Source organism: Homo sapiens, chromosome 7 (assembly GCF_000001405.40).
Source record: "Homo sapiens chromosome 7, GRCh38.p14 Primary Assembly".
NCBI lineage: Eukaryota > Metazoa > Chordata > Mammalia > Primates > Hominidae > Homo > Homo sapiens.
The window spans coordinates 104,208,022-104,224,348 of record NC_000007.14 but is presented as its reverse complement, the minus strand read 5'-3'; the positions used below and the strand labels follow the sequence as shown (position 1 = coordinate 104,224,348).

At 39.4% G+C, this 16,327-nt stretch overlaps 1 annotated feature.

Annotated features, from left to right (window-relative positions):
* Nucleotides 16,158–16,317: an enhancer, noted in NCBI's record as "active region_26445". NCBI's record gives its function as "activates an Ori minimal core promoter by ATAC-STARR-seq in GM12878 lymphoblastoid cells {active_cell/tissue: GM12878}" and the evidence as "EXISTENCE:reporter gene assay evidence [ECO:0000049][PMID:35858748]".

Sequence of the window (16,327 nt, the reverse complement as noted above, 5' to 3'; positions counted from 1 at the left end):
GGCAGAGCAGGAGAAAGCCTCCCTCAGATGTGCAAGTCTGGAAGAAAAGGAGTGGAAACCTCTCCTTTGGAAAATGAATGTGGGAAAATGTTGGAAACTGAGAAATGAATGAAGCCCTGCCTTGACCTTTGTCCTTTATAAAACAAAGTCCTAAGCCTTTGACAGAAAGGCAGCAAACCCTGGCATCACCCAGCTCCCACCCTAAGGATAAGGAAACACTACAGAAATTCTGAAGCTGAAAGTAACCATAGCAACAACAAGCCCCAGATGCAGCTCACTCAGAACTACTTTGACTTGATGCAGTCACACATTAATATCTACTTGAGCATTCCAAATTTGAGCATTTAAAATCTGAATCTCTGAGGACATGCCCATTGGATAATTTCTGATTTCTGATTTTTAGATTTGGGATGCTCAGCCCGTAAGTATAATGCAAATATTCAAAAATCTGAAAAAATCCAAAATGTGAAATATTTCTGGTCCCAATCATTTCAGATAAGGAGTATTCAACATGTATTTACCACAATCTCTACTGTTCTACACATGATGTATAGCATTCAATAAAAACTTATGAGACATATAATTTTTTTAAGTACAAAAAAGCCTCTGACAAAGACAAAGCAATCAACAGAATGAGACTCAGTTGATCCAGATGTTTGAGCCATTAGACAGAGAATTTTAAATAACTTTGATTACTATGTTAAAGAATCTGGGCCGGGCACAGTGGCTCAAGACTGTGATCCCAGCACTTTGGGAGGCTAAGGCAGACAGATCACTTGAGGCCAGGAGTTCAAGACCAGCCTTAGCCAACACGGTGAAACCCCATCTCTACTAAAAATACAAAAAACTGTCTGGGCATGGTGGCACGTGCCTGTAGTCCCAGCTACTTGGGAGGCCGAGGCAGAAGAATCACCTGAACCCAGGAGGTGGAGAGAGCTAGGATTGCACCACCACACTCCAGAGTGAGACTCTGTCTCAGGAAAAGAAGAGAAAAGAAAAGAGAAAAGAAAAGAATCTGAGGAAAAGGTAGAAATGAACAGATGGGAATTTTACTGGAGATAGAAACTATAGAAAAGAGTGAGATAGAAATGCTAGAAATAAAAAATATTGTAGCAGAGATGGTAAATGCCTTGGATGGGTTCATCAGTAGATTTGACAAAGCTGAAGAAACAATCAGTGAATATGAATATAAGTCAACAGAAACTGAAACACAGAGAGAATAGAGTATGCAGGGGTGGGATGAGAATATCAGAACAGAACATATAAATACTGCAGGACATCAACCAGTGGTCTAACATACTTGCAGTTGGAATTTCAGAAGAGAATAGAGAGAAAGGGGCAGACTGTTTGAAGAGATCATGGCTAAAAAATTTTTTAAATAATGAAAGAATCAAATTACAGACCTAAACAGCTCAGAGAACACCCAAGCAGAAAAACAGAAAAAGTAAAAATAATACACCTATACCCATCATATCCAAACTATTGAAGACAAGTAAAGAGAAAATCTTGAAGATGACCACAGCAGAAGACAATGTAATGTCAATTTCAAATGCTGCAAAAAATCCATCCTCACCCAGAATTATATACTCCGCTAAAATATCTTCTAGAAATAAAGGTGAAAAAAAAGATGAGAGAATTTGTTAACAGCAGATCTGCCTTAAAAGAAATATTACAATTCTTCAACCAGAAGGAAAATGATACTAGGCAAAGATTTGGATCTACAAAAAGAAATAAAAAATTTCCAGAAATGATTAAATGAATGTTACTATAAAAGCCTTAGCCTTATTTATTTATTAATTTTAATTTTCTTTTTCTTTTCTTTTTTTTTTTTTTTTTTTTGAGACAAGGTCTTGCTCTGTCATCCAATCACAGCTCACGGCAGTGTCAACCTCCCTGGCTCAAGCGATCTTCCCACCTTAGATCCTCCAAGTAGCTGGGACTACGGGCGCACACCACCATGCCTGGCTAATTATTTTATTTTATTTTTGTAGAGTTGGGGTCTCCCCATGTTGCCCAATCTGGTCTTAAACTCCTGGGCTCAAGCGATCTTCCCTCCTCAGCCTCCCAAAGTGCCAGGATTACAAGCATGAGCAACTGTGCCCAGTCCGTTTTATTTTTTATTTTAGTCATTCTAAAATATATTTATCTAAATCTGTACAGTTCAATACACTAGCCATTAACAAAAGGTAGCAATATAATGTAAACTAATTAAAAATTTAAAAATAAAAGCTAAAAATTCAGTCCATTGTTATAACTAGCCGCATTTCAAGAGTTCAACAGCCACATGTGGCCAGTGAATACTGTATTGGACAAAACAGAAAGCTTTATTGCACAGCACTGGTCTAGCAGCAACATATTTTGGGTTTATATAATATAATAAGATATAAAAGATGTGACAACAAAAGCACAAAAGGTGGGGGTGAGAATTGAGAATACCGTTGTAAGGTTCTTACAGTAGTCTTGAAGAAGTTTAATATGTTTAAAGGTAGATGGTAGTTAATTAAACGTATGTATTATAAACCCTAGGGCAAACATGACAACAACTTTAAAAACTGGCATAATAAGCCCAAAGCAGAGGCAAAATGTAATTTTTTAAAATGCTTAAGTAACCTAAAAGCAGGAGCAAAAACGAGAAAAAAGGAAAAAACACAGATGAAACAAATAGGAAACAACTAGCAAGATGATAGATTTCAGTTCAACTGTATCAATCATTAAGGCAATATAAATCATCTGAAGACACAAATTGAAACACAGAAATTGTCAGACAAGATAAATAAGGATAAATAAGAAAGTTCTCACTACAGCTGTCCCTTGGTATCTGTGGGGGATTGGTTCCCCCAGACCATCAAGGATACCAAAAAATGTGGATGTTTAAGTTTCTTTTATAAAATGTCTACAGTACTTGCATAAAACCTATGCATGCCATCCTGTATACTGTATAAATCATCTCTAGATTACTTACAATACCTAAAACAATATGAATGCTCTGTAAGTAGTTGTTATACTGTATTGTTTTTATTTGTATTATTTGTATTGTTGTATTGTTCCTTATTATTTTTTTCTAATATCTTTTGTTCCTGTTAGTTGAATTCATGCATGTGGAACCACAGATACAAAAGGCCAATTGCATACACTGCCTACAAGAAACCCATTTTAAAATAGAACACAGGTGGGCTAAAAGTAACAGGATAAGAATGTCAAATATCTGGAATTCTCATAATTGCCAGTGGGAATGTGAAATAGTGCAGTCACTCTGGAAAACAGTTTGGCAATTTCTTATGAACTTAAACATACATTTATCATACAATCCAGCAATCCCACTTCTATATTTTAGTTAAGTGAAGTGAAATACCTATGTTTGAAACTGCCCTTGCAAAAATTTTAATGGAGAAATCTAAGCTAACTGATTATATCTTGTGTCTAACCTCCAAGCTTTCCTTATTCGTTCCTGAGTATAGGCACAGCTAAACATGGGAGGAATCAATAACAACAATCCTTTCCCAAAACTAACTCCCTTATTGCTCAGGGACTGAAACTGCCTTTGTAAAACTAACAAATTAGCCACAAGCTTGGAATTATGATTCAAGAGTCAGGTAGCCAGAGGTCACAAGATTTGTAACCTTAATTTCTCCTATAGATAACACTACTATTGTGAACCCTAAGATTGGTGTTTGAGGTACTTCCCAGACCCTGCATTCTGATGGACCAGCTGGCGCCATCTGGACTGGTAACCCATACCAAGAAACTGGCCTCATCTGGTCTTGTGACTACCAGGTAGGAACTGACTCAGCAAAAGGAGACAGATTTGACCCCCTGTGATTTCATCCCTGACCCAATAAAGCAGCATTTCCCATTTTCTAGCCCCCTGCCCACCAAACTATCCTTGAAAAATCCTAGCCTCTAAATTTTCAGGCAGGCTGATTTGAGTAAAAACTCCCTTCTTTCTGCTTGGCTGGCCCTGCAATTATTGACTTCTTTCTCTATTGCAATACCACTGTCTCAGCTCTCAGTAAATTGGCTCTATCTGTGCAGTGGACAAGAAGAACCTGTCAGGTGATTACCATACACACACACACACACACACACACACACACACACCCCTGTTCATGATTGTTTATAGTGACTCTATTCATAATGTTAAAAACTTGATGTAAACAAAGTGTCCTTAACCTAGAGAATAAACTATGATGATCTATGTAATGGATTTTTGCTCATCAATAAAAAGGAATGAACTGCTAATACATGGAATAACATGAATAAATTTCAAATGTGTTATGCGAAGAAAAAGAATTAAACTCAAAATGTTGCATATTATATGATTCCATTTGTATGACATTCTGGAAAAGGTGAAACCATAAGAAAAGAAATAAGATCAGTGTTTGCCAGATTCTGGGGGAAGGGGAAAGAGGCTGCCTACAGAGGAGTGCTGGGGAATTTTGTGGGTAATGAAATTGTTCTATATCTTGATTTTGATAGTGGTGACATGACTGTATATGTTTATAAAAACTCAGAACTGTACACTAAAAAGAGAAAATATGCACTATGCCTCAATAAATCTGAATTTTTAAAAAAATATGTATTAGGGATCTCCAGTGAAACAAAACCAATAGGATATATATATGTAAATGAGAGGCACTAGTCAGCCTGCCTTCATGGTGATTGCAAAAGGCAGGGCCCAGCACTCTTTCATGTATTTGATTTGGGGTTCTAGAGGCAGAACTGGGCAGATTCAAATGGAGCCTAAAGGTGTAGGTGGGCAAAAACATAAGCCTCATAATGACCCTTTGTGTAGGGAGGGGGTATCTGTTTTATTCACTGCTCTACCTGAACACTGAAAACATTTCAGAGAAAGTATATACTCAATTCATTTGGTGAATGAATAATTTATTCAATTGGGATGTAGGTGGGGTAGTGCAAGAAGTGACTGTAGAAGCAGAGACTTGAAGGTGAGAAAGCACAGAAATGTACTGGAGACACAAGTAAAGCAGTCACAGATTGATGATGGTTTTCTGTGTTTTCTAAATGGATTTCAGAGAAATAGAATTGGATTAATCAGTACTATCGGTCATAATATACTATCATTATTCTATGCACAATCCTCCTTTATTTTAATTGATTAAGTTTGAGGAATTTTATTAAGGTATAATTAGCATACCTTAATAACAATTTGATAGGTTTTGAAATATATATGCTTCCATGAAACTATGACAACAATCAAGATAATGACTATAACCATTGTATTTATATCCTAGGTACCACAAACTAGGTGGCTTAAAACAATAGAAATGAATTCTCTATCAGTTCTGAAGGCTAGAAGCCCAAAATCAGGGTGTCAGAAATATAGATTCCTTCTGAGGGCCTTGAGGGACAATCTGTTCCATGTGCCTCTCCTAGCTTCTGGTGGAGGGCCTGTGATCCTATGCGTTCCCTGGCTTGCAGATGCATTGCTCCAATCTCTACCTCCATCTTCCCTTGGCATTCTCCCCAAGCCTCTGTGTCTTCACATGGCCACTTCTTATAAACAGAAAATAATATTGGAATAGGGCTCATCCAAATGACCTGATCTTGACTTGATTAAACTTGCAAAGACCCTATTTCCAAATAAGGCCACATTCACAGCTTCTAGGAGTTAGAACCTCACTGAATTTTGGGAGGAGGACATAATTCAACCTATAATATCCACCATTCCCCAGATTTCCTCACTCTTCTTTATAATACCTCCTTTCTGACCCACCTCCTCATTACCTGACAGCCACTATCACTTCTTTAACTACTACTTTACTACTGCTTTAACTATAGTTTATTTTTTCTGGAATTTTATAAAAATAGAAGCATACAGTACATACTTTTTTGTAGGGGGAGGGAATCTGGCTTATTTCATTTAGCATAATTATTTGTGAGATTTATCCATGCTATTTCATATACTTAGTCCTTTATATCGCTGAAAAATATTTGTATGAATATCCCACAATTTTTAAATCTATTTACTTCTTAATGGAATTTGTTTCCATTTTTTGGATTTCAAATAAACCACTGAATAGTAGTGTCTAAGTATTTGTATGAACATACGTTTTCATGTTTTCTTAGGTAAACTTCTAGGGGTAGAATGGCTGGGTCATACGGTAGGTGTCTGCTTAAATTTTAAGAAACTGTCATACTGTTTTTCGAAGTGGCTGTACCATTTTACATTCCTGGCAACAATGTATGAAGGTTTCAGTTGCTCCACATCCTTGCCAACACTTCGGAATGGTCAGTCTTTTTAATTTCAGGCTAGATTCTAATAGGTGTGTAGTAGTATCTTATTGTGGTTTTAATTTGCATTGTCCTAATTACTAAAGATGTTGAACATTCTTTTATGTGCTTAGTTGTGGTCAGTATATTGTTTTTCAGTAAAGTGCTTGTTCAAATCTTTAGCCTATTTTTATTTTGTAAAATTCATTTTACTTATTTTTTCTTAGACACGGTCTTGCTCTGTTGCCCAGGCTGGAGTGCAGTGGTGCTGTCATGACTCACTGCAACCTTGACCTCCTGGCCTCAAGTGATCCACCTACCTCAGCCTCACGAGTAACTGGGGCCACAGGCACAAGCCACTATGGCTAATTAATTTTTGTATTTTTTGTAGATACGGGGTTTCACCATGTTGCCCAGGCTGGTCTCGAACTCCTAAGCTTAAGCAATTCACCTGCCTTGGCATCCCAAAGTGTTGGGATTACAGGTGTGAGCCAGTTTGCCTGGCCAAGCCTATTTTTAAATTGTCATTTTCTGCCAAAAAAAAAAAAAAAGAGAGAGAGCACACTAAGATTTTGACTGGGATTGTGTTGAATCTACACATCAATTTGGGGTAAAAGTGACAAATTTTAACAAAATTGAGTCTGAGTCTTAAACATGATACCTCTATATTTTAAAATAATGTCTTCTTTAATTTCTCTCAGTAATATTTTGTAGTTTTCAGTGTGCAAGTCTTACATGTGTCAGATTTATTCTTCAGTATTTAATAATTTTTGATGCTATTGAAATTGTGCTGTTATTTTAAATTTCAATTCCCAATCGCTTATTGCTAGTACATAGAAATACTATTTTTTCTATGTTAATCTTGCATCTTGAAACCTTGCAAAGCTCACTTATTAGTTCTAGAAACTTGTTTGTAGAATCCATCAGATTTTCTACATAACAATCATGTTGTCTGTAAGTAAATTCGTGTTTTTTTTTTCTTTCAAATCTGGGTGCATTTAATTTCCTTTTCTTATTGCACTGGTTACAACCTCCAGTACAATGTTGCACAGAGGAGTGAGAACAGACACCCTTGCCTTGTCCCTGAATGTAGGGGGGAATGCATTAGTATTTCATGATTAATTATGATATTAGCTGTAGTTTTTTTCATAGATGCTCTTTATCCAGTTGACAAAATTCCCTTCTACTCCCTAGTTCTAGTTAATTACTTTCAAATAATTCCATGAAATCCATGAAACAAACACCCATCAATAATCTCATTTAAATGACTGGCTCAACTACCTATATACTACCTATAAGTATATATTTCTGTGTCTCCTTCTCCGGGCCCTTCTCTCTCGAGCTACAGATCCCATTTTTACTGGACTTCTTTATCTGGTTGTTTCGCAGACACTTCAAATTTAATATAACAAACCCACTTGGGTCATTTCTTATCCCATAAAGATAAAACTAAATCTATAAACCTGCTCCTTATTTTTCCATCTGGCTTTTCATCTGTATTCCTTATTTTTTATTTCACTACTGGCAAAACCTAAAATCACCTATGTCAGAAACCTAAATGCTAGTCTCTATGACTCCTCCCTCCATCTCTTACAAACAGCTACTGAGTTCTATAAAATATACTTCCAAATTTCTCTCAGACTTAGCCCATTCTCAGTATGGGGTAGTAAAAAGATTAAGGGCTTTAGGATTAACCAGATCTAAGTTCAAGTAATTACGAACTATAAACCTTTGGATAAATTACCTAACCCAGCTGGTTTTTCTAAATGTGAAACAAGAATGGTATCTCTATTATAATATTGTTAAAATTTAAGGCCGGGCGCGGTGGCTCACGCCTGTAATCCCAGCACTTTGGGAGGCCGAGGCAGGCGGATCACGAGGTCAGGATATCGAGACCATCCCGGCTAAAACGGAGAAACCCCGTCTCTACTAAAAATACAAAAAATTAGCCGGGTATAGTGGCGGGCGCCTGTAGACCCAGCTACTTGGGAGGCTGAGGCAGGAGAATGGCGTGAACCCAGGAGGCAGAGCTTGCAGTGAGCCGAGATCCTGCCACTGCACTCCAGCCTGGGCGACAGAGTGAGACTCCGTCTCAAAAAAAAAAAAAAAAAAAAAAATTGTTAAAATTTAAATGGGAGTAATATATCTATCACAGTGTCAGCCACATTATGTTTAATAAACTTTAATTACCATTCCCTCTCGCCTATTCCCATTGTTTATAAAGGCCATTTTTTTAAATTATACTTTAAGTTTTAGGGTACATGTGCACAATGTGCAGGTTAGTTACATATGTATACATGTGCCATGCTGGTGTGCTGCACCCATTAACTCGTCATTTAGCATGAGGTATATCTCCCAATGCTATCCCTCCCCCCTCCCCCAACCCCACAACAGTCCCCAGAGTGTGATGTTCCCCTTTCTGTGTCCATGTGTTCTCACTGTTCAATTCCCACCTATGAGTGAGAACATGCGGTGTTTGGTTTTTTGTTCTTGCGATAGTTTACTGAGAATGATGGTTTCCAGTTTCATCCATGTCCCTACAAAGGACATGAACTCATCATTTTTTATGGCTGCATAGTATTCCATGGTGTATATGTGCCACATTTTCTTAATCCAGTCTATCATTGTTGGACATTCGGGTTGGTTCCAAGTCTTTCCTATTGTGAATAGAGCCACAATAAACATACGTGTGCATGTGTCTTTATAGCAGCATGATTTATAGTCCTTTGGGTATATACCCAGTAATGAGATGGCTGGGTCAAATGGTATTTCTAGTTCCAGATCCCTGAGGAATCGCCACACTGACTTCCACAAGGGTTGAACTAGTTTACAGTCCCACCAACAGTGTAAAAGTGTTCCTATTTCTCCACATCCTCTCCAGCACCTGTTGTTTCCTGACTTTTTAATGATTGCCATTCTAACTGGTGTGAGATGGTATCTCATTGTGGTTTTCATTTGCATTTCTCTGATGGCCAGTGATGATGAGCATTTTTTCATGTGTGTTTTGGCTGCATAAATGTCTTCTTTTGAGAAGTGTCTGTTCATGTCCTTCACCCACTTTTTGATGGGGTTGTTTGTTTTTTTCTTGTAAATTTGTTTGAGTTCACTGTAGATTCTGGATATTAGCTCTTTGTCAGATGAGTAGGTTGTGAAAATTTTCTCCCATTTTGTAGGTTGCCTGTTCACTCTGATGGTAGTTTCTTTTGCTGTGCAGAAGCTCTTTAGTTTAATTAGATCCCATTTGTCAATTTTGGCTTTTGTTGCCATTGTGTTTGGTGTTTTAGACATGAAGTCCTTGCCCATGCCTATGTCCTGAATGGTAATGCCTAGGTTTTCTTCTAGGGTTTTTATGGTTTTAGGTCTAACGTTTAAGTCTTTAATCCATGTTGAATTAATTTTTGTATAAGGTGTAAGGAAGGGATCCAGTTTCAGCTTTCTACATATGGCTAGCCAGTTTTCCCAGCACCATTTATTAAATAGGGAATCCTTTTCCCATTGCTTGTTTTTCTCAGGTTTGTCAAAGATCAGATAGTTGTAGATATGTGGCGTTATTTCTGAGGGCTCTGTTCTGTTCCATTGATCTATATCTCTGTTTTGGTACCAGTACCATGCTGTTTTGGTTACTGTAGCCTTGTAGTATAGTTTGAAGTCAGGTAGCGTGATGCCTCCAGCTTTGTTCTTTTGGCTTAGGATTGACTTGGCCATGCGGGCTCTTTTTTGGTTCCATATGACTTTAAGGTGGTTTTTTCCAATTCTGTGAAGAAAGTCATTGGTAGCTTGATGGGGATGTCATTGAATCTGTAAATTACCTTGGGCAGTATGGCCATTTTCACGATATTGATTCTTCCTACCCATGAGCACGGAATGTTTTTCCATTTCTTTGTATCCTCTTTTATTTCACTGAGCAGTGGTTTGTAGTTCTCCTTGAAGAGGTCCTTCACGTCCCTTGTAAGGTGGATTCCTAGGTATTTTATTCTCTTTGAAGCAATTGTGAATGGGAGTTCACTCATGATTTGGCACTCTGTCTGTAATTGGTGTATAAGAATGCTTGTGATATTTGTACATTGATTTTGTATCCTGAGACTTTGCTGAAGTTGCTTATCAGCTCAAAGAGATTTTGGGCTGAGACGATGGGATTTTCTAGATATACAATCATGTCATCTGCAAACAGGGACAATTTGACTTCCTCTTTTCCTAATTGAATACCCTTTATTTCCTTCTCCTGCCTGATTGCCCTGGCCAGAACTTCCAACACTATGTTGAATAGGAGTGGTGAGAGAGGGCATCCCTGTCTTGTGCCAGTTTTCAAAGGGAATGCTTCCAGTTTTTGCCCATTCAGTATGATATTGGCTGTGGGTTTGTCATAGATAGCTCTTATTATTTTGAGATACGTCTCATCAATACCTAATTTATTGAGAGTTTTTAGCATGAAGGGTTGTTGAATTTTGTCAAAGGCCTTTTCTGCATCTATTGAGATAATCATGTGGTTTTTGTCTTTGGTTCTGTTTATATGATGGATTACATTTCTTGATTTGCATATATTGAACCAGCCTTGCATCCCAGGGATGAAGCCCACTTGATCATGGTGGATAAGCTTTTTGATGTGCTGCTGGATTCGGTTTGCCAGAATTTTATTGAGGATTTTTGCATTAATGTTCATCAAGAATATTGGTCTAAAATTCTCTTTTTTGGTTGTGTCTCTGCCTTGCTTTGGTATCAGGATGATGCTGGCCTCATAAAATGAGTTAGGGAGGATTCCCTCTTTTTCTATTGATTGGAATAGTTTCAGAAGGAATGGTATCAGTTCCTCCTTGTACCTCTGGTAGAATTTGGCTGTGAATCCATCTGGTCCTGGACTCTTTTTGGTTGGTAAGCTATTGATTATTGCCACAATTTCAGATCCTGTTATTGGTCTGTTCAGAGATTCAACTTCTTCCTGGTTTAGTCTTCGTAGGGTGTATGTGTCGAGGAATTTATCCATTTCTTCTAGATTTTGCAGTTTATTTTCATAGAGGTGTTTGTAGTATTCTCTGATGGTAGTTTGTATTTCTGTGGGATCGGTGGTAATATCCCTTTATCATTTTTTATTGCGTCTATTTGTTTCTTCTCTCTTTTCTTCTTTATTGGTCTTGCTAGTGGTCTATCAATTTTGTTGATCCTTTCAAAAAACTAGCTCCTGGATTCATTAATTTTTTGAAGGGTTTTTTGTGTCTCTACTTCCTTCAGTTCTGCTCTGATTTTAGTTATTTCTTGCCTTCTGCTAGCTTTTGAATGTGTTTGCTCTTGCTTTTCTAGTTCTTTTAATTGTGATGTTAGGGTGTCAATTTTAGATCTTTCTTGCTTTCACTTGCGGGCATTTAGTGCTATAAATTTCCCTCTACACACGGCTTTGAATGTGTCCCAGAGATTCTGGTATGTTGTGTCTTCGTTCTCGTTGGTTTCAAAGAACATCTTTATTTCTGCCTTCATTTCGTTATGTACCCAGCAGTCATTCAGGAGCAGGTTGTTCCGTTTCCATGTAGTTGAGTGGTTTTGAGTGAGTTTCTTAATCCTGAGTTCTAGTTTGATTGCACTGTGGTCTGAGAGACAATTTGTTATAATTTGTGTTCTTTTACATTTGCTGAGGAGAGCTTTACTTACAACTATGTGGTCAATTTTGGAATAGGTGTGCTGTGGTGCTGAAAAAAATGTATATTCTGTTGATTTGGGGTGGAGAGTTCTGTAGATGTCTATTAGGTCTGCTTGGTGCAGAGCTGAGTTCAATTCCTCGGTATCCTTGTTAACTTTCTGTCTCGTTGATCTGTCTAATGTTGACAGTGGGGTGTTAAAGTTTCCCATTATTATTGTGTGGGAGTCTAAGTCTCTTCGTAGGTCACTCAGGACTTGCTTTATGAATCTGGGTGCTCCTGTATTGGGTGCATATATATTTAGGATAGTTAGCTCTTCTTGTTGAATTGATCCCTTTACCATTATATAACGTCCTTCTTTGTCTCTTTTGATCTTTGTTGGTTTAAAGTATGTTTTATCAGAGACTAGGATTGCAACCCCTGCCTTTTTCTGTTTTCCATTTGCTTGGTAGAGCTTCCGCCATCCTTTTATTTTGAGCCTATGTGTGTCTCTGCACATGAGATGGGTTTACTGAATACAGCACACTGATGGGTCTTCACTCTTTATCCAATTTGCCAGTCTGTGTCTTTTAATTGGAGCATTTAGTCCATTTACATTTAAAGTTAATATTGTTATGTGTGAATTTGATCCTGCCATTATGATGTTAGCTGGTTATTTTGCTCATTAGCTGATGCAGTTTTTCCTACCCTTGATGGTCTTTACATTTTGGCATGATTTTGCAGTGGTTGGTGCCGGTTGTTCCTTTCCATGTTTAGTGCTTCCTTCAGGAGCTCTTTTAGGGCAGGTCTGGTGGTGACAGAATCTCTCAGCATTTGCTTGTCTGTAAAGGATTTTATTTCTCCTTCACTTATGAAGCTTAGTTTGGCTGGATATGAAATTCTGGGTTGAAAATTCTTTTCAATTCTTTTCTTTAAGAATGTTGAATATTGGCCCCCACTCTCTTCTGGTGTGCAGAGTTTTTGCTGAGAGATCTGCTGTTAGTCTGATGGGCTTCTCTTTGTTGGTAATCCAACCTTTCTCTCTGGCTGCCCTTAACATTTTTTCCTTCATTTCAACTTTGGTGAATCTGACAATTATGTGTCTTGGAGTTGCTCTTCTCAAGGAGTATCTTTGTGGCATTCTCTATATTTCCTGAATGTGAATGTTGGCCTGCCTTGCTAGATTGGGGAAGTTCTCCTGGATAATATCTTGCAGAGTGTTTTCCAACTTGGTTCCATTCTCCCCGTCACTTTCAGGTACACCAATCAGACGTAGATTTGGTCTTTTCACACAGTCCCATATTTCCTGGAAGCTTTGTTCGTTTCTTTTTATTCTTTTTTCTCTAAAGTTCCCTTCTCACTTCATTTCATTCATTTCACCTTCCATCACTGATACCCTTTCTTCCAGTTGATCACATTGGCTCCTGAGGCTTCTGCATTCTTCACGTAGTTCTCGAGCCTTGGCTTTCAGCTCCATCAGCTCCTTTAAGCACTTCTCTCTATTGGTTATTCTAGTTATACATTCGTCTAAATTTTTTTCAAAGTGTTTAACTTCTTTGCCTTTGGTTTGAATTTCCTCCTGTAGCTTGGAGTAGTTTGATCGTCTGAAGCCTTCTTCTCTCAACTCGTCAAAGTCATTCTCCGACCAGCTTTGTTCCATTGCTGGTGAGGAACTGCGTTCCTTTGGAGGAGGAGAGGCACTCTGCTTTTTAGAGTTTCCAGTTTTTCTGCTCTGTTTTTTCCCCATCTTTGTGGTTTTATTTACTTTTGGTCTTTGATGCTGGTGATGTACAGATGGGTTTTTGGTGTGGATGTCCCTTCTGTTTGTTAGTTTTCCTTCTAACAGACAGGACCCTCAGCTGCAGGTCTGTTGGAGTTTGCTAGAGGACCACTCCAGACCCTGTTTGCGTGGGTATCAGCAGTGGATGCTGCAGAACAGTGGATATTGGTGAACAGCAAATGTTGCTGCCTGATCATTCCTCTGGAAGTTTTGTCTCAGAGGAGTACCCGGCTGTGTGAGGTGTCATTCTGCCCTTACTGGGGGGTGCCTCCCAGTTAGGCTGCTCAGGGGTCAGGGGTCAGGGACCTACTTGAGGAGGCAGTCTGCCCGTTCTCAGATCTCTAGCTGCATGCTGGGAGAACCACTGCTCTCTTCAAAGCTGTCAGACAGGGACATTTAAGTCTGCAGAGGTTACTGCTGTCTTTTTGTTTGTCTGTGCCCTGCCCCCAGAGGTGGAGCCTACAGAGGCAGGCAGGCCTCCTTGAGCTGTGGTGGGCTCCACCTAGTTTTAGCTTCCTGGCTGCTTTGTTTACCTAAGCAAACCTGGGCAATGGCGGGCGCCCCTCCCCCAGCCTCGCTGCCTCCTTGCAGTTTGATCTCAGACTGCTGTGCTAGCAATCAGCGAGACTCCGTGGGCGTAGGACCGTCGGAGCCAGGTGCAGGATATAATCTCCTGGTGTGCCATTTTTTAAGCCCGTCGGAAAAGCGCAGTATTAGGGTGTGAGTGACCCGATTTTCCAGATGCTGTCTGTCACCCCTTTCTTTGACTAGGAAAGGGAACTCCCTGATCCCTTGCATTTCCTGAGTGAGGCAATGCCTCGCCCTGCTTTGGCTCGTGCACGGTGCACTGCACCCACTATCCTGTGCCCACTGTCTGGCACTCCGTAGTGAGATGAACCCAGTACCGCAGATGGAAATGCAGAAATCACCCGTCTTCTGCATCACTCATGCTGGGAACTGTAGACCAGAGCTGTTCCTATTCGGCCATCTTGGCTGCCTATCGAGGCCATTATTATTCACTGTTTGGGAGACTGCAATAGTCGTTTCAACAAATGAAATTGATTCCACTTTCCACACTGTAGCCAGAAGGAATATTTCTAAGTCAAATCTCAACATTTGCTTCTCTGCCTACAATTCTTTATTGGTCCCCAGCCTGACCTCCTACTACTCTCCAGGTTTATATGTAAAAACTATTTGCTAGTTTCAGTTATGGGATTGCCCATTTGTCCCTTTTTGTCTGTACATTCTTTTGTTTACAATTTCCTTCTTGGTCTCACAGGTGAATCTTTTCTTCAGCCTCAGCTTCCAGGTTCTCTCCTCTGAGAAACCATCCTAAATCATCCAGATGGTAAGGCATGTTCTCTCAGATCAACAATTATCTTTATTATGTAACTGCCAGGCGTTAACTGTGTATGCTGGAAATTGAACTGTGAAGACAGTGTTTCCTGTCCTCATAAAGTATATAGAGAGGGAGACTAACATTTTAGACAGTTTAGTCAGTTTTATTGAATGCTATAAAGATGTCGTGTTATGATTATAATATATGTATACCTTATATGCACAGTATGTTACGGACGTATAACCATCTTAGGAGAGTATCAGAGGCCAGCTTCCCTTGGAGACATTGAAATTTAATGGGTGGTCCCATTATAACCTTTAGAATTCTCTATTAAAAAGTACCTGGGCAAATGCTTTTGAATTGTTGCTGTGAAAATACTATTTTGACTAGCTAATACGTTATATACCACAACTCTCAAAAGATCCTTTTGACCATCACAAATCTAAGACTGATCTACAATCTATGGGCAGATTGAAGTCCACAATTTAAATTTATGTATAACAGGTAGTATGTACAGGATCTTCTACTCCTAGCAATAACCTAGCCAGTATTATCCCTATTTTATAGATAAGGAAGTTGAGGCTCAACTATTCCAAAGTCCCCCTATTCAGCAGTTGAGTCAGTCAGTGGTCCCAACCCAGGGGTTTCAGGACGCCAAGCTCTCTTTCCACCATGCACTTGCCTACTTCTGTATCTTATTTCCAGAATCTTCTAGTGTTTAGTCGCTAGTAGGTGCCTCACAAATAAATACACGTGAAAGCCTAATGCTAAAAGTAGCATTATTTTTACTATCAACCTCACCAACACACACTACGACTTCATCCCATTAGGACTGAGAGGCTTTCCACATCTGGTTTAAAGCTTGCACAAAAAATAGTAATTCCAAGCTGTGCATTAAACCCCATTACACCCTGTTTTGTACTCAATGCCACTAATTTCCCACAACGTCGTCAGGGAAAAAAACGACAACAAAAACATCTTTTGACAATATTAGTCTTCTAAGTCCGCCTTCCACGTCCCTCTAAGGGCCCCAGCTCCGGGTCCGTCTTCTTAGGCACTCAAGGTTTCTAAACTTGGGGCTTCCAGCCGGTAAAACTAAAGGCACGGGGTTCAGGGGTCATTGGAGGCCCACGGGACCCCCTTAACCCCTTCCACCCCTTCCCTATTCGCCCATCTCCATGTCGTCTCCTTAGCCTTTGAGTGGAAAAAGCGTCAGCCCGAAATCCCCACCAAGCCCAAGAATGGGCAAAACCTCGGCGCGCACAGGACCAGCGAGAAGAGGATGGTTCCGGCCCTGAGACTAGAGCGGCGGCGACGCTCGGCGTACGCGCTGCCGTCACGCCGCAGCCCGGCAGCGCAGGCTCCTCCCAC